General features: G+C 45.9%; 1 protein-coding gene across 18 annotated transcripts in view, besides 2 other annotated features; it reads left to right on the plus strand.

Annotated features, from left to right (window-relative positions):
* The window catches only part of WWC1 (WW and C2 domain containing 1), a 180,659-nt gene that overhangs the window by 141,009 nt on the left and 15,704 nt on the right, over window positions 1-23,946 (plus strand). For 10 of the 18 annotated variants that reach the window (XM_011534485.2, XM_011534486.2, XM_011534488.2 and 7 more), the window contains 4 exons: window positions 9,029-9,196; window positions 11,841-11,932; window positions 21,315-21,447; window positions 22,703-22,867. In XM_011534485.2, the coding sequence (XP_011532787.1) occupies window positions 9,029-9,196; window positions 11,841-11,932; window positions 21,315-21,447; window positions 22,703-22,867 (558 nt within the window). The remainder of the gene's footprint in view (window positions 1-9,028; window positions 9,197-11,840; window positions 11,933-21,314; window positions 21,448-22,702; window positions 22,868-23,946) is intronic. The other 8 variants (XM_011534487.2, XM_011534489.2, XM_011534491.2 and 5 more) reach the window with 1 other exon arrangement.
* Window positions 21,833-22,002: an enhancer, noted in NCBI's record as "experimental_83602 CRE fragment used in MPRA reporter constructs". NCBI's record gives its function as "activates a minimal promoter by MPRAs in K562 erythroleukemia cells, with activity observed for the non-introgressed 5:167881576 or rs954274 variant allele {active_cell/tissue: K562}" and the evidence as "EXISTENCE:reporter gene assay evidence [ECO:0000049][PMID:34662402]".
* Window position 21,918: a transcriptional cis regulatory region, noted in NCBI's record as "Neanderthal adaptively introgressed variant 5:167881576 (GRCh37/hg19 assembly coordinates) or rs954274 in the experimental_83602 CRE". NCBI's record gives its function as "modulates activity of the experimental_83602 enhancer by MPRAs in K562 erythroleukemia cells {active_cell/tissue: K562}" and the evidence as "EXISTENCE:reporter gene assay evidence [ECO:0000049][PMID:34662402]".

Below are 23,946 nucleotides of genomic sequence, written 5' to 3' on the forward strand. Positions count from 1 at the left end.
TGGGAGCTTGTTGTGTCCCCACCCCTGTGTCTGGGGCTGGGGATTCAATGGGGAACCAAACAGACAAGGTGCCAGCATTGATGGCTAAGATGTAAACAAACTGTGAGGAGGGCCGTGTTGGAAATGGATGGGTTGAAGTGATGGAGGAAAATGTGGGGTATGTGCAAAGGGGAAAAACAAGATGTATACACCTCTCCGAGCCTCTCCTGCCTCCATTTCTGGAAGCTGGAATGTAGAGCCTCTCACTGCCTTCTTGGAGGGCTCGCCCCTTTCTCCTGCTGTAAATCACAGACCTTTGCCCAGAGAAGGGAATCTCTTTGCTCTCCATCCTTGCCTTGATCTGCATGCGCTATAAAACCCTTCTCTATCATGGCATTGTGGGGCCACATCCTTGGATTGTGGCCTGGGGCTGTCACCAGCCTTGCCCTTCCAGCTGTGTCTCCTCACAGTCTTCAATTCTTAGTCTCAGTTCCCTTATCTGTAAAATCTGGCTCATACTGCCTTCCTGGAGGTGGTTCTCTGAAGACTAACTAAGGCGCTGAAGCAGCGCTTCAAACTGTGCCATGCACACAAGTTACCTGGAGCTCTGGCTAAATGCAGATTCTGATTCAGCAAGTCTGGAGCAGAACCTGAGATTCTGCATTTCTAATAAGCTCCCAGGTGAGGCCAATGCTGCTGGTTCCTGGATCACACTTTGGGTAGCAAGAATGTAGAGCAGCAAAGTGTTTGCAGTTTGTGCTCACTGGATATCGGTTCCCATCTCTCCTTCTTAGCTGGGTACAACACAGCATCACTGCTATTGATGTTGTTACTGACAATAATGCAGTAGTTAATACCAGTAGGTTGCAGTTTATATGGCAGGCACTGAGTTAAGCTCTTTACATGCATTATCTGTTTTTTTTATTTTAGACTGAGTCCTGCTCTCAGTCTCTGGAGTGCAGTGGCGTGATCTTGGCTCACTGAAACCTTCACCTCCTAGATTCAAGCAATTCTCCTGCCTTAGACTCCAGAGTAGCTGGGACTACAAGCGCCCACCACCACACCCGGCTAATTTTTGTATTTTTAGTAGAGGCGGGGTTTTGCCATGTTGGCCAGGCTGATCTTGAACTCCTGACCTCAAGTGATCCGCCTGTCTCCACCTCCCAAAGTTCTGGGATTACAGGTGTGAGCCACCACCCCAGCCCATTATCTCTATTGATCCTCACTCCAACCTTGCAAAATAGGTAGCGTATTCCAGTGGAGAAACTGAGGCACAAAGAGGTGAAAGACCTTTCCTGTCACAGTTAGGAAAGTGGCAGAAGCCGTATTTGAACCCCAGCAGGTCTCCCTCTGAAGTCCACACACGTCAGCGCCTCTGTGTTGTCTCTTTGCCAGCACAGGGCTCCCTGGAGCCCAGAGATGGGGGTGGTGACTTGAAGGGGTTGGCAAGCCTGGGCTCCTCCAGCGAAGCATTCCCTTGGCCCTGGGCATTCCTAAGCGAGAAGAGGCTCAATCCTATTTTCTTCTCCTAATTGGATGCCTTTTATTCCTCCTTCCTAATTGAAGTCTGGTCATTGCTGGTTGCCATGGCAGCAGCCAAAGCGCTCATCTCACTGTGGCTTGTCTCTGCCTGCGGCCAATGGGAAACCTCCTTTCCCATATACGGTGGGGACATGGAGTGTCAGGCTGTCGTATTCTGGTGGCTGGAGGAGGAGAGGAAGTGAGATGGGAGGAAAAAGGCCTGTCCTCTCCCACGCAGAGACTCCGGACAGCAGGATGTGTGGAATCCCCAGTCTGTTTTCAGCCAGGCAGCAACAGCATCTGTACTGAGTTGAGTCTATGTGTCTACCAGTGGGCTAAGAACTTCATGTGCAGTATCTCATTTAATCTTCGTGATGGCCCCAGGAAGATAAGGGATCAAGGCCCAGAAAGGCTAAGTAAGCTGCCAGGTCATCCAAGGAGAAAATGGCAAAGCCTGGATTTGAACAGAGACTCCAGCTTCCTTATGTGTAGCCATCTCACCATGCTACTTCTCAGGGGGTTACTATGAGTGTCTCTCATGTCCCCAGACCCAGATTACAGGTTTGGAGGAATACACAGCCCACCTTCCCAATATCGCAGGCAACAGTTCCACCAAATGCCCTGCATGGCATCACAGGGAGCCTAGTTGCCCACTGCTCTACTGCTGAGCTCAATGCCACCCAGCCCGGGCTCTCTCGAGCTAGCCTGCTTCTCAGGCCCCACTGACGTCCCATGGTTCACCATTACAACCGTTCCCTTGCCTCCTCTCACTTTGGCATACTAACTTGGCAAAACCCAGCCCTGTCAAAGTGAACTCTCCACCCCCTCCTCTCCAACTGAGCAACTGGAAAAAAAAATGCACACAACCACGCTGTATGGTATCATTTGGAAATGGTGATCACTCACTTCCCATGAGCCCTCAATGCTGCCCAGAAATTATACTGTATCTCCCTGGACCATTTACTCACCCACTCATCACAATGACTAATTCATACTTCTCTCAGGGAGAGAAGAGAGGACAGACTCAGAAGAGGGCCCCCACACCATATCTGGCTGTTCTTGTAGGTTCTGCCATTTCCCTGGCTTCTGAGGGTGGGCCTTCTGCACTCCTGTCTGAGGCCACCACCCCCATTTTCTCGCAAGGACATTACTCCAGCAGCCATTCCGCTCTTTCCTCTATCTTCAATTTTCCCTCCTCCACTGGATCCAGCCTATCAGTATATCATCATGCTGTTATTTCTCCCATGCTCAAAACAAAACAAAAAAATTTTTTTTGACAGAGGATCTTGCTTTGTTGCCCAGGCTGGAGTGCAGTGCTGTGAACTCAGCTCACAGCAGCCTTGACCTTCTGGGCTCAAGTGATCCTCCCACTTCAGCCTCTCCCATAGCTGGGACTACAGGCACATGCCACCATGGCCGGCTAATTTTTGTATTTTTTGTAGAGATGGGGTCTCACTATGTTGCCCAGGCTGGTCTTGAACTCCTGGGCTCAGGCAGTCCTCCCGCCTCAGCCTCTCAAAGGGCTGGGGTTTACAGGCGTGAGCCACCACACCCGACCTAAAACTTTTTTCACCCCATTTCCACTTCCAACTACTACATTGTTTCTTTCCCTTTCTTTATAGAAAAACTTGAAAGAGGTGTTCCCTTCCTCTCTGTAACCCAATCCATGTGGACTTTGGCCCTCATCTTTCTTTTTTCTTTTTTTTTATTTTTGAGACAGAGTCTGTTGCCCAGACTGAAGGGCAATGGCGTGATCTTGGCTCACTGCAACCTCCGCTTCCCGGGTCCAAACCATTCTCCTGCCTCAGCCTCCCAAGTAGCTGGGACTATAGGCACGCGCCACCACACCTGGCTAATTTTTGTATTTTTATTAGAGATGGGGTTTCCCCATGTTGGCCACGCTGGTCTCAAACTTCTGACCTCAAGCGATCCACCCACCTTTTCCTCCGAAAGTGGTGGGATTACAGACGTGAGCCACCGTGCCTGGCCTGGCCCTCATCTTTGTACCGAGGGTGTGCTCTTCATGTTCCTCAGGGAGCTCCTTGTTACCAGACCAGAGGCCAGCTCTCCATCTTCCTTCTGGACCTGCCAGCTACATTTGCCACAGTTGCTGACTCCACCTCCTTCAAAATCCTTTGCCCTTGCTTGGCCTCCTGGTTACCTCGCTCTTCCAGTGTTCTCCCCTCACCTCTAGCATGTTGGTCTCCTTTGCTGATTCTTCCTCATTTCCCTGACCTCCCTATATCAGAGGGCCCAGGGCTGGGTCCTTGATCCTCCCCTTTTCTACTCATTTCCTTGGTGATCTCATTTTATCTCCCAGCTGCAAACCCATCCCAAGTGCAGGGCTCCAGCATGGGCCTCCGCACTCGCCTCGAATCTTGTATCTCCACTGCCTGTTCTGCATCTTCACTTAAACGTAAAATAGGACCTCAAACGAACATGGCCACAAGAATGCCCCTGACCTTTCATCCTGTGTCTCCGCTGTCTCAGCCGATGGCAATCTCATTCTTCCATTGCTCAGGCCAGACACCTTGCAATCATCCTTAACCCCTCTCTTTCCCTCACCCCATCCTCTTAGCTCCACCTTCAAAAGAACCCTAGATTCCACTTCTCACCACTTCCCCAGACCCAAGCCACTGTCTTCCCTTACCTGGATGATGGCAGCCATCTCCTACTTGGTTTCCCGGCTTCTGTCCTTTTCCCCTTCCTCTTTTTTCAACAGAGTAGCCAGACTAATCCTGTTTAAATGTAAATCAGTGCATGCCATTCTTTTGCTAAAACCTTATGATGGCATATGTCTCCACCTAGAGTCAACACCTGTGTCCTTTGCCTGGCCTCCAAGGCCCCTTGGGATTTGGCCACTTATTAAAATCTCTGGGATTATATCCCCAAAACTCTTCCTCCAGCCTCGTGTTCCTTGAATACACACACCAACATGTGCTCCCCTCCGGGCCTTTGCACTTGCTGTGTCCTCTGCCTGGCATTCTGTCCTCCCAGGTGCTCCCTCACCTCCTTCTGGACTTTATTCAAATGTCACCTTCTCTGTGAGGTCTTCCACCCTATATAAATCCCATTACCCTCTCTGCTGTCTTATCCCCTCCTAGCCCCTTTCCCTGTAGTATTTTCCCTACAGCACCTTTTATCACCTAACATTTCACTGTACGTCATAGATTCTAGGGTACATGTTATCTCTACATTTTACTTCTGAAATCAAGATGCACTATGTACTAGATGACAGGTTATAGTTTCATTGGCAACTATTTCTCTTTCTTGGTGCATAAAATAATGGTACACTTTTAAATGATGGCATCTTAGATTCGATGAAACACAGTGTGGAGTTTACCTATGGAGTTGTTATCTGATCCCCCTAGATGCAAATATAAGGTCATGGGGCAGGAATATTTATCTGCCTTCAATTCTGCTCTATCTCCAGCACCCAGAACAGTGCCTGGCACATAAGACTTCTCAGCAGATTTTTGTGTGTTGAATAAATGAATGAATGAATACGTAAATGCCCTCAAAAGTGCATCCAGTTTACTGAGGTAGACAATACTCACACCTGTGAGCCCGCCCCAGATAAACAGTATATCTTGTTAGAATTAATAATAATCTGCTGGAGGTGTTACACCTCAAAGCTGTGATCCTGGTCTTTTCCCCTCATACCTCACACATGGCCTGGCATGTTCTGAACTGTAATATCCAAATAGCTGTCTATCCCCCTAGGAAACCACGAGACCCGTTTTGGGGAAGAATCATGTCTTACATGCTTCTGTGGCTCCAGAGTCTGCGAAGGGCTTAGGGAGTTTTTACTGAATGAATAAATAAGTATTAGACAAATATTTGTATATATGTACATTTATTCTGGGTGTCTGAAGTGTGCCAAGCATTTAATTACCTCTGATCCTCCCAATAGGCTGGTAGGTAGGAGTGATTTTCCCTGTTTTCCAGATGAGGAAGCTGGTGCTAAACAAGTGAAGTGTCAGCATTGTGCTTTCTTCCTTTCCCCACTCAACACCGTGCTCTCAGAAACCACCTTTCACTGTCCCAGACCTAGCACAGCCCTGCCACGTTCCAGTGCATCTTGATGAATTGTAGCCCCCATAATCCCCATGTGTTGTGGGAGGGACCTGGTGGGAGGTAATTGAATCATGGGGGCTGTTACCCCCATGCTGCTGTTCTCATGATAGTGAGTGTGTTCTCATGAGATCTGATGGTTATATAAGGGGCTTTTCCCACTTTTGTTCGGCACTTCTCTTTGCTGCCACCATGTGAAGAAGGAAGTGTTTGCTTCCCCTTCTGCCATGATTATAAGTTTCCTGAGGCCTCCCCAGCCATGCTGAACTGTGAGTCAACTAAACCTCTTTCTTTTATAAATGACTCAGTCTCGGGTATGCCTTTATTAGCAGCATGAGAACGGATTAATACACTTGGCTACAGGTCCATTTTGCAAACTGGCATTTGGTATTTCTACCACCCATCAGCACAGAGTCTGGTTCCACCCACCGACACTGGTGTGTTAGGGGAAGGTGAGCTGACCACCTTCCCAAACCTGACCAGGGCTCATTTTTGCACATGTCGAAACAATAAAGCCTCTGAGGAATGATTAATTAGTTTGTAGTAATTTCTAGGAAGGCTGTAGGGGAAAAAAAAAACAGTAAAAATATTAAGTCACTTGAAATAATCCCCTTCTCTGTGAGCTTATAGTCAGTCAGGTTAGTTTGTTATAGTTTGTTTTTATTTTAAGGGATATATTTACATAATTCAAAGAAAAATTGTATGGAAAGGTTTACTGAAGAGAAATCATGCTCTTTCCCCACCCCAGCCTCACCATCTATCCTATATAGGTGACCACTTTGATTAATTTCTTTTGCATCTTTCCATTATTTCTTGTGCACATATGATCATGGTCACTCCCCCTGGCACCTCAAGCATGGTGCAATATGTAGATAGACTATAGACACAGATATACTTACCCCACTCTCTTGCACAAAAGGTAGCATATTATATATTCTTTTCTGCACCATGCTATTTTCTTCCCTTAACAATATAGCCTGGCCATCTCTCTGCATCAGTAAAAAGAGATCTTCCTCTTTTTTACATGACTATATAATATTCCATTGTATGGATAGATTATAGTTCTTTTAGTCTGTTCCCTGTTGCTGGACCTTTGGGTCATTTAAAATCTTTCGCTATTGGCCGGGTGCCTCACACCTGTAATCCCAGCACTTTGGGAGGCTGAGGTGGGTGGATCACCTGAGATCGGGAGTTCGAGACCAGCCTGACCGACATGGAGAAACCCCGTCTCTACTAAAAATACAAAAAAAAAAAAAAAGGCCAGGCGTGGTGGCACTTAATCCCAGCTACTCCAGAGGCTGAGGCAGGAGAATTGCTTGAACCTGGGAGGCAGAGGTTGTGGTGAGCCAAGACCATGCCATTGCACTCCAGCAGCCTCGGCAACAAGAGCAAAACTCTGTCTCAAAAAAAAAAAAAAAAATCTTTCGCTATTACAAAGAGGGTCAGAATGAAGACTCTTGTTTGTGGGTCGTTTTGTACTTGTGCAGGTTTCTGCAGGTGTATCTGTGGGATAGACAGCTACAAGGAGAATTATTCGGTCGAAGGGTAAAATGCATTTATATTTTTGCTAGATATGACTAAATTCCTTCCGTCGGGTTTCTGCCATTTTACATTTCCACGAGCAAGGTGAGAGAGGGCCTATTTCCCCATAACCTCACCAATGGCATTTGTTGTCAATTTTTTAAACTTTTGCAAATTTAGTGGAGAAGAAATGATACACAGTTTTCTACCTCACTTGGAATTAATTACTTGTTCAGTTCCTGAGTTCCTTGGGAGAGTGCTGGCTCCCAGAAGGTGGAACCAGGTGGGGACCATCATTATCCTCAGTACCTAACACAGAACCTAGTGCTTAATATAAGTAACACAGAATGGGTATTCAACAACAAAAAAATCAACCCAATTTGAAAAGGGGAAAGGACTTGAATAGACATTTCTCCAAAATTAATATACAAATGGCCAATATGCATGTGAAAAGATGTTCAACATTACTAGTTATCAGAGCAATGCAAATCAAAACCACAATGAGATACCACCTCACACATATTTGGATGATGGCTATCCAAAAACCACACAAAATAACTAGTGTTGGTGAAGATGTAGAGAAATTGGAACTCGTGTGCATTGTTGGTGGGATTATAAGCACTCCCTTAGCAAGTCTTAAGGTAAACAGTGTAGTAGTTCCACTAAAAAATTAAAAATGTAACTACCATATGACCTAGCAATTGTACTTCTGGGCATATATTCAGGAGAATTGAAAGCAGGGTTTTGTTGTTGTTGTTGTTGTTGTTTTGTTTTGTTTTGTTTTTGAGGCAGAGTTTTGTTCTTGTTGCCCAGGCTGGAGTGCAATGGCACGATCTCATCTCACCTGCAACCTCCATCTCCTGAGTTCAAACAATTCTCCTGCCCCAGCCTCCCGAGTAGCTGGGATTACAGGCATACGCCACCACGCTCGGCTAATTTTGTATTTTTAGTAGAAATGGGGTTTCTCCATGTTGGTCAGGCTGGTCTCGATCTCCCGACCTCAGATGATCCACCCACCTCAGCCTCCCAAAGTGCTGGGATTACAGGCGTGAGCCACCGCGCCCGGCCTGAAAGCAGGTTCTTAAAGAATTACTTGTACACTCATGTTCATGGCAACACTGCTCACAATAGTGAAGAGGTAGAAGTAACCCAAATGTCCATCAACAGATGGCTGGATAAGCAAAATGTAGCATACCCATACAGTGGAATATTATTCAGCCTTAAAAAGAAAGGGGGATCTCTTAGCCCAGGAGTTCGAGATTACAGTGAGGTATGACCGCATCACCGCACTCCAGCCTGGGCAACAGAGTGAGACCCTACCTCCAAAATAACAGCAACAAAAAAGGAATACAATTCTGATACATGCTGCGACACAGGTGGACCTTGAAGGCATTGTTAAGTTCAATAAGCCAGTCACAAAAAGACAAATGCTATATGATTCCAATTATATGAGGTATCGAAAGTCATCAAATTCATAGAAACAGAAAATATAGTGGTGGTTACCAGGAGCTGTGGGGAAGGGGAAAAAGAGGTTGTTGCTTAGTAAGTGTAGAGTTTCAGATTTGCAAGATGAGAATGTTCAGTAGATCTCTTTTGCAACAATGTGCGTAATGTTTAATACCACTGAACTGTGCACTTAAAAGCGGCAAAGATGGTAAACTAAAGGTTTTTTTATCACAGTTTTTTTAATTAAAAAAATTCATAGGATAAGTCTTCAATAAAGATTTGGCAAATGATTAAACCAATCAATCAATGAATGAATGAACAAATGAGCTAATTGGAAATGTTAACAACTTGGCCTCTCTTCCTGCCGGGATGCCTACCTCTCATCTGGAGTGGTGTTTTTTCCATACTGTCCTCTTGAACCAAATTCCCTGACACCTGGTGTCCCCCCCACCGCCACTTATGTTCTCCTTGTTTCCATCCCCAACAGGGAGGCGCCCAGATCAGCCTGGCGGAGGTCTGCCGGTCTGGGGAGAGGTCGACTCGCTGGTACAACCTTCTCAGCTACAAATACTTGAAGAAACAGAGCAGGGAGCTCAAGCCAGTGGGAGTCATGGCCCCTGCCTCAGGGCCTGCCAGCACGGTGAGCTGGGACCAGGTGTGCCACCTTCCCACAAGGCCGCACCCGGATGTTGGAAGGGAAAGCCTCTCCCAGAACTGGAGGTGATCAGGCGTCATGAGAGGAGAACAATGGGGTGGAGGAAGTAGGAGAAGAAGACAGGGAAGGAGAGATCTCCACTAAGGGGCAGGCGGCTCCCTTTCTGCAACTTGTTCCCTTCCACATCTGTGTTTCCTCCTTCTGTCCTTTGCCCTACCTAATACCACTTGGCTAACGAAAACCTTAATTCATGATTTTTTACAAATGAAGTGGAGAAGAAGGTAAAAAACTGTGGAAGGAAAAAGATTAACCTTTCTTGGGCCCCTACTTTGTTCAAGGTCCATACTGGAGGCTTTGTATAAGAGGCAGCTAGAAATCATGGGAAGAGAATCAGAGGGCTAGGTCAGTCATATCACCTCTCTGAGCTTTCAATTTTTAATGTCTAATATGAGCCTTAAAAGGTTGTTATGAGGATGGGCACGGAGCCTCATGCCTATAATCCCAGCCCTTTGGGAGGCTGAGGCAGGAGGATCTCTTGAGGCCAGGAATTCAAGACAAGCCTGGGCAACATGGTGAGGCCTTGTCTCTACAAAAAAAAAAAAAAAAAATTTAATTAAAAAAAAAAGTTTTTATGATGCTTTGAAGAAATATATGTAAAGAGCACTTGGTAACTGTTCCATTGTGACTTTGTTATTTGAAAATCTTGGCCGGGCGTGGTGACTCATGCCTGTAATCCCAGCACTTTGGGAGGCCAAGGCAGGAGGATCTCTTGAGGTCAGGAGTTTGAGACCACCCTGGCCAACATGGTGAAACCCTGTCTCTACTAAAATTCTAAAAATTAGCCAAGCATGATGGCAGTCATCTGTAATCCTAGCTACTAGGGAGGCTGAGGCAGGAGAATTGCTTAAACCCGGGAGGCAGAGGTTGCAGTGAGCCAAGATTACACTGTCGCACTCCAGCCCGGGCAGCAGAGCAAGACTCCATCTCAGAAAAAAAAAAAAAAGAAAAGAAAAAAAAGCTTATATTTGCTTATTTTCAGTGAAAAAATATGTTCTGTTTTCATTTTAGCGCAGTACGCTTTAATGTATTAAAATATCCTTAAACTGTCTCCCCCGTTTGGAAAGCCCACACCTACTGGCCAGGCAGACTAGTCAGAACTCAGTTGAGCAGTGAAGTTAGTCTTACATATGGGGTATTGGACTCCTATGGGATCCCGACCACATCAAAAAAGTTAAATAGAGAGTGTTTTGGATTCAGGTTTTCTTGTAATCATCTGTAATGATCCTTCCCTCTCTGTAACGGTTGTTCCCTCTGTCGATACTTGGTTAGTTTGGACAGCCACTGCCTAGAATTTCAATGGAGCGGATGGGTTGGGACATACAGGTAAAGATAAGGGTAGCAAATAGAGAAATTAAGTCTATTTTCTTTGTCTCTTTCTCCTCCTCCTCTCCTTTCCCTCCCATCCCCACCTTCTTTTTCATCGTCATCATCATCATCATCATTTTCTGTACTTCCTTTTGCATCAGGCACTGTTCTGTTTATTATGTGCAGTTTACCAAGGCTCAGAGAGATAACCAAATTACATTAAGATGTACATCTCATCAGCAAAGCTAGGTCTCAAACCCAGGTCTCTCACTCCAAAAGGAGACTGTGAGCTGATAAAGGTCTCGAAAACAAACTCCTCTCCTTTCTAGAGCATGACCTTGAGTAAGTAACATCAACCCTAGACACACTAGTTCTCTCCTTCCCATTTCTCAAGTGAGTCATAATAATTCCCACCTGTCAGGATGGTTGTAAAGATTAAATAAGATGCTACACATAAACCATCTTTCACAGTGCCTGCTATATACCAGGCCTTCAGTTGATTTTAGTTCCCTCTTTCCCTTCTTACAAGAAAATGTCAGGAATTTTTCAGGCTCTGGCCCACACTACCAAGGGTAACCACAAATTAACCATGTGCTCAGAAAACTACAGGATCCAGTTTTTGCTTTGGTATTAGCTACCATTTACTGGGTGCCAATTATGTGCCAGGTATTCTTCTGTGTTCCTCATGTAGAGTCTCAATTAATCTTCATAACAACCCTTTCTAGCAGTTATTAGAGGAAACAGTCTCAGAGAGTTTAAATAATTTCCTCAAGTCACATGGGCTTTTTCACTGTAGATACCATTCAGTATAAATGTTCCTCTTTCAGGAAGCCCTCCCTGAATGCAACTTCCCAAGCTTTATCACTGTTCCGCTGTTCCCAAACAGCCAGTACTTATCTCCTTTCACCTCTCTTCTATGTCATATCCTTACTGTGTTATGTTACTGATGGTTCACACATTGGTCTGATGACACTGTGGTCTGCTTACAGTCAGAGACCTTAATTCTCTCTCACTTCACTGCTAAACTTGGCTATCTTCCATCACGATGCTGAGTAAGTTCATACATACAGGAGCTATTCTCTGGAGAACTGCTAGTTGAAGGAATTAAGGACAATTTTTCCAGTTTATCAGTGACCTTGGGCAAGACACTTGACCACTCTGGTCTTTGGTTTCACCATCAATTCACTGGGAGGGTCACAGCTCTGAGATGCTCTGATTCCTGGCAGGTAGGGTGGCACCTACATTGTACCCAATGACCCAGCAACCTTTGTCTCTATAGGACGCTGTGTCTGCTCTGTTGGAACAGACAGCAGTGGAGCTGGAGAAGAGGCAGGAGGGCAGGAGCAGCACACAGACACTGGAAGACAGCTGGTGAGTGAGCCCGCCCTTGGGCCCCAGGAGCTGCCCTGCCTGGACCTAGGCCCAGCAATGAGATCCCCCAATGCCAGTGCAACTAAGAGAAGGGTTCCACTGGGAAGGCTGAGAACCCCTCTCCTCATGGGTTCTCTACAGGCAAAAAGGCAATGTAACCTAGTACGATGGTTCCCAGAATTCCTTTCGAATTTGCCATTTCGTTTCCCATGAATCACCTATGCTAGTTCACACCTAATGTTATTCTTTATCTTGATATAGTGACATTTATTTTGCTAAAAAAAAAAAAAAGTAAAGAAACTTTATGTTACTCTAAATGGAAAATTTGTGTAGTTTGCCATAAATTAAAGAGTTCTTGGGAATTGCATTTGACTTTCAGGAATGGAGAGCAGAAATATTAGACAGAAATAAATTAGAAGTTTACTTCTTCTTCACTTAAGAAGAAGAGGGCCAGGCACGGTGGCTCATGCCTGTAGTCCCAGCACTTTGGGAAGCCGAGGTGGGTGGATCACGACGTCAGGAGCTCGAGACCAGCCTGACCAACATGTTGAAACCCTGTCTCTACTAAAGATACAAAAATTAGCTGGGCATGGTGGGGCACGCCTGTAATCCCAGCTACTCAGGAGGGTGAGGCAGGAAAATCACTTGAACCCAGGATGGGGAGGTTGCAGTGAGCCGAGATTGCACCACTGCACTCCAACCTGGGTGATAGAGCAAAAAAACAAAAGAAAGAAGAAGAATGTAATCCCAGCTATTCGGGAGGCTGAGGCAGGAGGATTGCTTGAACCCACAGTGAAACCTCATCTCAAAAAATTTTTAAAATAATGGGAGAGGCCAGGCGTGGTGGCTCACGCCTGTAATCCCAGCACTTTGGGAGGCCGAGGCAGATGGATCACCTGAGGTTAGGAGTTCGAGACCAGCCTGGCCAACATGGTGAAACCCCATTTCTACTAAAAAATACAAAAATTAGCCAGGCATGGTGGTGGGCACCTGTAATCACAGCTACTTAGGAGGCTGAGGTGGGGACAATTGCTTGAACCCAGGAGGCAGAGGTTGCAGTGAACCGAGATTGCGCCACTGCACTCCATCCTAGGTGACAGAGTGAGACTCTGTCTCAAAAAAAAAAAAAAAAAAAAAAAAGAGTAAGCAGTCCAAGGCTATCCAATTCTGTCAGCCCCATGGTGTTACTGGGAATCCAGGCTCCTTTCCTCTGTCTGCTTTGCTGTCTTTACTATGTGACCTCCATCACCGAGGCTGCTTTATAGCCCAAGATGGCTGCTGGATCACCAGCCATCAGGCAGGTAACCATCAGGAAAGAGGAAAGACAAAAGAGAGCATGCCTGTGTACCTGTTAACCAAGAAGCATTCCTGAATGTCCCACACAGCAACTTTTGCTTGCTTTTCATTGGCCAAGCTTAGCCACTTAGCCTGCCTAACTGCAAAGGAGACTGGAGAATGAGGTCTGTTATTTGGGTACAAAAATCAAATTTCTGTTACTAACGGAGAAAGTGGATACTGGGTAGACCAAGAGCCAAGTCTGCTTCAAAAGGTAACTGTGGAAAACACAGTGTAATGAAAATAAAGCAATATTATTAAAGTCTAGTTAGATATATTGCTTGCTAAGCCTGAGCCTTCTCTCCCATTATTAAAAAAAAAAAAAAAAAAAAAAAAAAAAAGGTTAGCAAGTGTTTCAGCAATGTTGAAGACATGCTATTGCCGAAGAGAGACTTTCTCCCTGATGTAATCAAAATGTCTGAACATTGAAAAGGGGACAACTTTCTCACTTTGTGATTCAGTGTTATTTAATTCCTTGTATTATGAGAAAGGTCTCATCATACACTTTAAGAAACAATGACATAGACGAGGGTTTGAAACTTGGATTTTTCATGTTTTGTGTAACCTTAGGCAAAGTATTTTTTAAACTTTCTATTGCAGTGTAAAATACATGCAGAAAATTCACCTAAGCATAGAGCTGAGTGAATTTTCAGAAAGCAAAACTCCTCTGTAACTAGCACCAAATCAAGAAGCAGAATGTGACGAGCACCACAGAAGCCCACACCTTGTGTCACTGTTGGGCAAGTCGCTCTAACCTTGTCTGAACCTCATCTGAAAACTGAGGAAATAATACTGACTATGTGAGGTTACTGAAAGAGACTCAAGGGAAAGGCACTAATGAAGATCAGGTGCAAAGCACATAGTAGACCCTCAATACATGGTTGAAATCATTGTTAGGAAAAAGAGAAGGAACGTTCCTCACTACTGGCTGGAAACAGGGTAAATCCCATGTAGGAAATGGCCACAGCCTATGAGTCTTGCCATTTGGAAGGAAAAATAAGTTGGTCTTAAGTGCATGTGCTTTAAATTCAGACAGATATGGATCTGGAGTCTAGCTCAGCCAACTTCCTTCTGGGATCCTGTTTCTGACCGGTAAGACCTTACTGAGCATTAGTAAGATTTAAAAGCTCCCTGGGTGATTCTAATGTGCAGCCTGGGCTGAATATCACAGCTGTAAACTTCCGTCTCCTCGTCTGTGAAATAGAGATTTAGAAAACAGCCACTATGTCATGGGGTATTTTGCAAAATTCAGTAAAATTATGCATGATAAGCACTTAACACAGACCCTGACCTGGAGGAAACATTCAATAACTCTTCCGTATTATTATTCTCTTAGAGCCTCAAATTATATATTTAGTCTCAGGCGGCGCCCTCCCGTAATATCTGTTACTCCACAGGTCAGCAGATGATTTCTGGAGAGGGCCAGATGGTAAATATTCTTTGCCTTGTGAGTCGTAAGAATTCTGTTGCATCCCCTCACCTCTGCTGTTGCAGTGTGAAAGCAGCCGTAGACAGTATGTAAACCAATGACACTGTCTGTGTTCCACTGAAACGTCATTTATGGACACTGAAATTTGCATTTTATATAATTTGCACCTTTTCACCAAGTATTCCCCTTTTGATTTTTTTTTCAGCCATTTTAAAATATAAAAACCATTCATGGCTTAGACTGTCCAAAACAAAGCAGCAGACAGGATTGGGCCCACTGGCTGTAGTTTGCTGGTTCTTGTTTTACTCTTCTCTCTTACTATTTTTTTCATGTGATAAAGCAGATGGCAAGGTTCCTGGAATTTTTGTATGTTCCTTTGTTAGTTTAGGGTTCTCTCTAAATTGTCTCAATCTCTCTCTCCCCCTCCTTTTCTCTCTCTTTCTTTCTCTCTCTCTGTCTGTTTCTCCCCACTGACCCCTGGCCATCTCCCTCTCTCTTTCCTTTCCTCTCTGTTTCTCTGCCTCTCTCTCTCTTTCTGCTTGGCACACTGCTGTGCCACACTCTACTACGGATCACACAGGCAAAGGTCTGATGCCAGAAATAGGCCCAGGACCTATCTCCCAAAACCCTGGCACAAGATCAGTGGTTTCCACCAAATTCCAAGCTTGTGCTGAGACTTTTCAAGCCATCTCCTAGCAACCGCCTTCTGTCCCTTCTCCCTTTTTGGCCCCTGTCTCCACACCCCCTGCCATTCAAACTTCCCCCAGACGCTGTCTTACAAAGGGGGCTGGGGATCCCAGAGCTGCTGTAGTGGGGCAAACCATCTGCGGCCCCCTCCCCCAAGACTGGAAGCCTCTCTTGGTCCTGGGATGTTAACTGGCCTTGCCATGCCTGCTCATCTCTGGAGTCTTGGGTTCTGGTCTCCAAAAGGCTGTCCGTCTGTTCCAATTTACAGTCCTTCCTCGGCACCCAAAACCCGGCGTGTCACTGGTACTCCCTCTTTTTATTTTGTTTTTATATGTCTTTAAATGATATAATCAGAAAACTGGATTTTTTTTTAAAAGATCCACAAGCAAAATAAAACTAAGAGTGTTAGAAAATACAGGAGAATATAACACCAAACAATACTATGGGGAAAAATCTTTGTATTTGCCTCCTTGGGAACTCGTATTTGTCTGGGGCAGATGCTGAGAAGTGGCATTGCTGGATCGCAGGGTGTGTGTTTTTTATATTTTAATAGACATCATAGAATAGTTCTCAAATAAGATTTTTTTTTTTTTTTTTTTTGAGACGGAGTCTTGTTCTGTCACCCAGGCTGGAGTGCAGTGGCACGATCTCAGCTCACTGCAAGCTCCGCCACCTGGGTTCACGCCATTCTCATGCCTCATCCTCCTGGGTAGCTGGGACTACAGGCACCTGCCGCCATGCCCAGCTAATTTTTTGTGTTTTTTAGTAGAGATGGGGTTTCACCGTGTTAGCCAGGATGGTCTCGATCTCCTGACCTCGTGATCTGCCCACCTCCACCTCCCAAAGTGCTGGGATTACAGGCATGAGCCACCGCACCCAGCTATAAGATTTTATTAATAAATGCTCCCACCAGCAATGATTAAGAGTACCCTAACCTACAGCCTCTCTGACACTCAATCTAATCAAACTGCTGTAACTTAATTAAGCATATGTACATTTTTTTATTTTAACAGATAAGGCTAAATGGCCTTCAGAATGTAAATTGGCTGCTCTCCTTTTCACTTCCCACAGGGATATGCCTGTTTCTGTACCTTCACCAGCACTTGATATTACCAGATTTTTTTCCGCTTTGCCACTCCAGTAGGTGAAAAGATATTGTTGATTTTAATTATTTTTCTCTTTACAATTAAAATTAAGTTGGGTTTGTGGTTTTTTTTTCTCATCTTGGAATATTGAGATCAGATTCACAGTCAAAAAGAAGAGACTCCCGTAATGGTTGAGCACTTAGTGGATCTAGACAAACCTGTTTTGCAATCCTGGCTCCACAACTAGCCTGCCACATTGAACAAGGCCTCAGGCCTCTGCCGCTCACTTTTTGAATCTGGGAAATGGAGATCATCTCTTTGAGCACTGTTGTGAGGTGTAGCACCTGGAGCTTATTGAGCCCTCAATAAATACTGGTCAATGTGGCTTCTACAGAGGGCTTTGTGGAGGGGCTCCCTGTCTCCCTGTGTGTTCACATGTTTAACAGCTCTTTTTTTTTTTTTTTTTTTTTTGAGACAGTTTCACTCTTGTTGCCCAGGCTAGAGTGCAATGGTGCGATCTCGGCTCACTGTGACCTCCACCTCATGGGTTCAAGTGATTCTCCTGTCTCAGTCTGCCAAGTGGCTGGGATTACAGGCATGTGCCACCACGCCTGGCTACGTTTGTATTTTTAGTAGAGATGGGGTTTTTCTCCATGTTGGTCAGGCTGATCTCGAACTCCCGACCTCAGGTGATCCACCTGCCTCAGCCTCCCAAAGTGCTGGGATTACAGGCATGAGCCACCGCACCCGCCAACAGCTCTTTTATTTGTAGATAGAGAGGCTGCTGGGGCCAAGGAGGAGAGCCAAGGCCCCTCCACAGCCGCAGTCCTCATCTAAGTACAGAAGAGGTTTTAATTGCAGAGTTGCGAGTAGAGATCCAAAATGCATTCTCCCCATTGGGAAAATCCTCAGGGAGATTTTATGTTTCCCCACACTCTCGCCGAGCTAGCTAGCTGGATGTCAGATTCTCTGCTTTTGGCTAGGATTCTTTTGGCTCAGTATGATAACACTGTCTCATGCTGATCAGAAGCCGGGCAGTTCTGTATGTCTTTCAGAAGTCAAGATGGGAATAGAGATAAATTACTACTTAACAAATGCAGCCTATTTGTCACACCAAATCCTTCCAACCTTGGAGTCCAAGGGAAATGGAAAGTTTTAAGGACTATCACCAAAAGTCCCTTCAGCAAATGGTGTTGGAACAATTAGATATTCATATGGAAAAAAAAAACTTGAACACTTACATCATGTATAAAAATTAATCTGTGGCTGGGCACGGTGACTCACGCCTGTAATTTCAGCACTTTGGGAGGCCGAGGTGGGTGGATCATGAGGTCAGGAGATCAAGACCATCCTGGCCAACATGGTGAAACACCATCTCTATTAAAAATACAAAAATCAGCTTGGCATGGCGGCACGTGCCTGTAATCCCAGCTACTCGGGAGGCTGAGGCGGGAGAATTGCTTGAACCCGGGAGGCAGAGGTTGCAGTGAGCTGAGGTCGCACCACTGCACTCCAGCCTGGGCAACAGAGCGAGACTCCATCTCAAAAAAATAAAATAAAATTAATCTCAAATGGGTTATAGAGCTACACATAAAACCTGAAATTATAGAAGTTCTGAAAGTGTAAGAAAGAAACTATTCACAACTTTGAGGTAGGCAAAGATTTCTTAGGACATAAAAAGTACAAACTATAAAAGAAAAAAATCAATAACTTGGGCTTTATCATAATCAAAAACTTATGATCTTCGGAAGACACCACTGAGAAAATGAAAAGGCAAGCCACAGACTTAGAGAAAATCGTGCAGTCCACATACCAGACAAAGGATTCATAGCGCAAATATACTAAGATTTCTTACAACTCAATAATAAGACAACCCAATTTTTATTTTTATTTTATTTATTTATTTATTTTGAGACAGAGTTTTGCTCTTGTTGCCCAGGCTGCGATCTCGGCTCACTGCAATCTCGGCTCACTGCAATCTCCACCTCCCGGATTCAAGCGATTCTCCTGTCTCAGCCTCCCGAGTAGCTAGAATTACAGGTGCATGCCACCACACCTGGCTAATTTTTGTATTTTTAGTAGAGGCAACTCGGTTTTATCATATTGGTCAGGCTGGTCTCGAACTCCTGACCTCAGGTGATCCACCCACCTCGGCCTCCCAAACTGTTGGGATTATAGGCGTGAGTCACTGTGCCTGGCCAAAAACCTGATTTTTAAGGGGCTGGAGATTGTAACAGACACTTCACCTGGGAAGATGGTCATAAATGCATGAAGAGTTTCTCAACAAGAAAATGCAAGTTAGGCCAGGCTCAGTGGCTTACACCAGTAATGTTCACACTTTGGGAAGCTGAGGCAGGAAGATTTCTTGAGGCCAGGAGTTCAAGATCAGCCTGGGAAACAAAACCCCATCTCTGCAAAAGATTTACTAAATTAGCCGGGCATGGTGGCACGTGCCTGTAGTACTAGCTACTTGGGAGGCTGAGGCAGGAGAATCAATCACCTGAGCCCAAGAGTTCAAGGCGACAGTGAGCTATGATCACACCATGGCACTCCAGCCTTAGCCTTGGCGACAGAGCAAGATGCTGTCTCTAAAAACAAAGAAAGAAAAAAGAAGAAAATGCAAATTAAAACCCAACAAGATGCAAGTACACACCCAGTAGTAGAGTGACTAACTATAAAGATAAACAACACCAAGTGTAGTGAGGAACTAGAACTCTTAGAACATTGCTCAGGGGAAACTTAAAATGGCAAAATCACTTTGGAGAAGCCATTTGTTGGTGTCTTTTTTTTTTTTTTTTTTTTGAGGTGGAGTCTCAGTCTGTCACCCAGGCTGTAGTGCAGTGGCACTCTCTCGACTCACTGCAAGCTCCACCTCTTGGGTTCAAGCAATTGTCCTGCCTCAGCCTCCTGAGTAGCTGGGATTACAGGTGCCCACCACCACGCCTGGCTAATTTTTGTATTTTTAGTAGAGACAAGGTTTTACCACATTGGCCAAGATGGTCTTGAACTCCTGACCTGGGGTGATCCGCCCACCTTGGCCACCCAAAGTGCTGGGATTACAGGCGTGAGCTACCACGCCTGGCCTGTTGGTGTTTAAAAGGGTAAATTTATACTTACCGTATGACCCAGTAATTCTATTATCTGTTAGGGGCTGATTTGTGTCCCCCCAAAATTCAAACATTGAAGCCCTAACCCCTAGTACCTCAGAATGTGACTGTATTTGGAGGTAGGGCTTTTAAAGAGGTGGTTAACACGAGACCATTGAAGTTGGGCTGGGACCTCATACGAGGATATTTGGACACACAGACACCAGGGATGCGCATGCACAGAGGACAGACTGTGTGAGCACGCTGCAAGAAGGCAGCCATCTGCTAGCCAGGGAAAGGGGCCTCAGGTGAATCAAACCTGCTGACACCTTGAGCATGGATTTCCAGCCTCCAGGACTGCCAGAAATCAGTTTCTGTTGTTTAACCCACCTAGTAAGTGGTGTTTTAGTTTTGCAACCCTAGCAATATCCAACAGAAATGAAAACCTATATTCATGCATAGACTTGTACATGAATGTACAAGAAGCTTTATTCATACTTGCTTGGAAATGTAAGTAATCCAAATGTTCATCAACTAAACTCTCCTTCTCTCCCTCTTCCTCCTCCTCCTCCTCCTCCTCTTCTTCCTCATCTTCCTCCTCCTTTTCCTCAACCACCCGCCTCGTTCCAACGTTTGGAAGCCCTACCCTGGGTGCATTTAAAGGCAGGTGAACAGATCTAAACATGTTGCAATATAGCCATCCAATGGAATATTAATGATAAAAAGGAGTGAACTGTCTGGGCGCGGTGGCTCACGCCTATAATCCCAACACTTTGGGAGGCCAAGGTGGGTGGATCGCTTGAGCCCAGTAGTTTGAGACCAGCCTGGGCAACATACCAAAACTCTGTCTCTACAAAAAATAGGATAATTAGCCAGGTGTGGTGGCACACACCTGTAGTCCCAACAACTCAGGAGGCTGAGGCAGGAGGATCACTTGAGCCCACTGGTGGAGGCTACAGTGAGCCAAGATGGTCCCACTGCACTCCAGCCTGGGTGACAGAGTGAGACTCTGATTCAAAAGGAAAAAAAAAAAGGAATGAACCGCTGATGCATACAGCATTGTGGATAAACTTCAGAAATGTTATGCAGACACAGAGAAGTCAGAGACAAAACAGCATATATTGTCTGATTCCATTTGCATGAAACTCTAGAAAAGTCAAATCTAATCTATAATAACAGCTAATCATGGCTGCCTAGTGGGTGATTAAACTGGGAAAAGGTAGGAGAGAATTCTGGTGGGGAATGGAATGTTCTACATCTCAAGTACAGTGGTGGTTACATAGGTGAGTACATTGGCCAAAACTCATCAAACTATACACTGAAAATGCCTCATTAACAATCTTTTTTTTTGTTTTGAGACAGAGTTTCACTCTTGTTGCCCAGGCTGGAGTGCAGTGGCGTGACCTCGGTTCACTGCAACCTCCACCTCCCGGGTTCAAGCAATTCTCCTGCCTCAGCCTCCCGAGTAGCTGGGACTACAGGTGTGCACCACCATGCCTGGCTAATTTTTGTATTTTTAGTAGAGATGGGGTTTCACCATGTTGGCCAGGCTTGTCTTGAACTCCTGAACTCAGGCAGTCTGCCTGCCTCGGCCTCCCAAAGTGCTGGGATTACAGGTGTGAGCCTGGCCCCCCAAAACTTTTTAAAATATATCTTCAATCATCAAAAGGATTGGAAGCCCTACCTTGGGTGTATTAAAGGCAGGTGAACAGAGGCAGAGCGGCTTCTGGGTGGGTAACCAAAGTGCTTTGTCATCACAGGAGGTATGAGGAGACCAGTGAGAATGAGGCAGTAGCCGAGGAAGAGGAGGAGGAGGTGGAGGAGGAGGAGGGAGAAGAGGATGTTTTCACCGAGAAAGCCTCACCTGATATGGATGGGTACCCAGCATTAAAGGTAGGAAGGGCTGGGGGGATAGAAGGGCTGTCGTGGGGAAGGAACCTTCAATCCTTGTGCCGAGGCAGTCAGAAAAGACTCAGAGCTAAGTCTTGGCTTCCAGCATCAGGGCACAAGCCCTCATAATGGAGTGGCCTTTGGGTCATTCTGGTGATAGTAAACCAGGAGAGGCCAACTCACCCATCTCTTTTCTTCTGCCCTCTGCATTTTCCATGACTTCTCTGGACATAACTCAAGCCTTGCAGTCAGACGGTTTGGGTTTGAATTCTGGCTCTGATACTCCCTGGCTGTGTAGTCTTAGGCAGATGACTTCATCCTTCTCAAGCTTCCATTTTCTCATCTCTAAAATGGGCACAATAATACCAACCTTGCAGATAGCCTCTAAAAATATATTTCTTTATGTGGGTCTGCCCACAGCGCGACAGGAAAAAGGCCAGACTCCCTTTGCTCCCTGCTTCCCTGCTGCACTAGGGTCACATTACAGCAGGATTCACTCTCCACAGACAGCTGGCTCCAGGACTCCTAGAGCTAGAGCACCTGCCGTGTTTGAGCGAGGCTGCAGCTGGAGTACCGCACAGAGGTGCCTGGACACGGCAGGTGCAGTAGGACCTGGGCCCTCGTTCTAACTCCTCCACACCAAGGGGGCATCATTTTGCAATTTCTCCAGCCAGTGGGCGTGCCCTTTCTTAAAATTATATAAAGGTACTATTTAGGCTGACAAAGGTCCTGCATGTAGGTGTTTTTGTTTGTTTATGTTTTCCTGATGACTACTGTGCACGGGCAGTAAAAACCTGATGGGTTGGTTTTAAAAACAAGATTTGCCAATTGCCTTCAGAATTCGATGAAAGCAACCGTAGTACTTTGCCAGGGCTGTGGAAGCCTTGGGTGTGGTTTTTCAAAATGTACTTGGTTTGTAAGTTTTGGGAGTGTGACATCCAGGTTGTTGGACATCACACTTTCAAAACTTTGAGACAGCTCTACTGCCCATGTGAGTTTGTTTGGGGGCTGAATGTGCTCCCACCAGTCCCCAACCACACGTGCCACGGAGGGGTAGGGGTCGGCACACCTAGCCTTGGGTACTGTCCTGGCTGCACCAGGCTGAGCTCATCTAGCAGGGCTAATGCCAAGGAAACCCTGGTTGTGTCTGTGGGAAAAGGTGAGGTGACAGGAGGGAAGAGGAGCAGCTGAGTGGTCTCTGGTGGGTGGCTGAGACTCTGTGGACACTGGTGGCTTCAAGGTGTGACTTCTTCCTCAGGTGGACAAAGAGACCAACACGGAGACCCCGGCCCCATCCCCCACAGTGGTGCGACCTAAGGACCGGAGAGTGGGCACCCCGTCCCAGGGGCCATTTCTTCGAGGGAGCACCATCATCCGCTCTAAGACCTTCTCCCCAGGACCCCAGAGCCAGTACGTGTGCCGGGTAAGTGAGCGTGCGGCCCTCTTCTGCTCCCCTCAGGGTAGCCGAGAGCTTCACACAGGGCTGGGTGCAAATCCCATTACTCTCATGTTATTGGGTGACTTCGGGTATGTTAACACCTCAGAGCCTCAGTTTCCTCAGGTGGAGTTCACGGGCCTACTTCATAGGATTGTTTTAGACAAGCAATAGAAAAGGCTTTGTAATTAGTACTTGGTCAATGTTATTATCATTCCAAACAACTCACTTCCTCCTTGTTCACACTCTGCCCTGCCCTCCTGCAACCACTTGCTGAGATCAGAGGGGGACCCGTCAGTGGCCCCTAGATACACAGGCATTTCCTTCCCACCTTCAGGGCAATTCTAGTGTACAGCCTGAGGCTGCAAAATTACAGCAGATCTGGTACCAGTTTGTTTTGTTTTTTTTAATTGAACCTGTTGCTACCAGTTTGTATTATTTTTTAATTGAACCTGCTGCTAACATTTAAAACTTTTTAAAAAGGCGGCCAGATGCAGTGTCTCATGCCTGTAAGCCCAACACTTCGGGAGGCTGAGGCAGGAGGGTCACTTGAGGCCAGGAGTTTAAAACCAGCCTGTTCAACATAGTGAGACCCTGTCTCCGCCTAAGAAAAAGTTAAAAATTAGCTGGGCATGGTGGCATGCACTTGTAGTCCCAGCTAGTGGGGAAGCTGAGACAGGAGAATTGCTTGAGCCCAGGAGTCCAACGCTGCAGTGAGCCATGATTGCGCCACAGCACTCCAGCCTGGGCAACAGAGTAAGACCCTATCTTAAAAAAAAAATTATTTTTAAATTAAAGGGCAGTTAAAAATAAAATAAACCTGGGCGCAGTGGCTCATGCCTGTAATCCCAGCACTTTGGGAGGCTGAGGTGGGCAAATCACTTGAGGCCAGGAGTTCGAGACCAGCCTGGCCCACATGGTGAAATCCTGTCTCTGCTAAAAATGCAAAAAATTAGTGCATGGTGGCACATGCTTGTAATCCCAGCTACTTGGGAGGCTGAGGCAGGAGAATCCTTGAACCCGGGGGGCAGAGGTTGCAGTAAGCTGAGATCGTACCATCGCACTCC

This window comes from Homo sapiens, chromosome 5 (genome assembly GCF_000001405.40).
Source record: "Homo sapiens chromosome 5, GRCh38.p14 Primary Assembly".
Classification (NCBI taxonomy): Eukaryota; Metazoa; Chordata; class Mammalia; order Primates; family Hominidae; genus Homo; species Homo sapiens.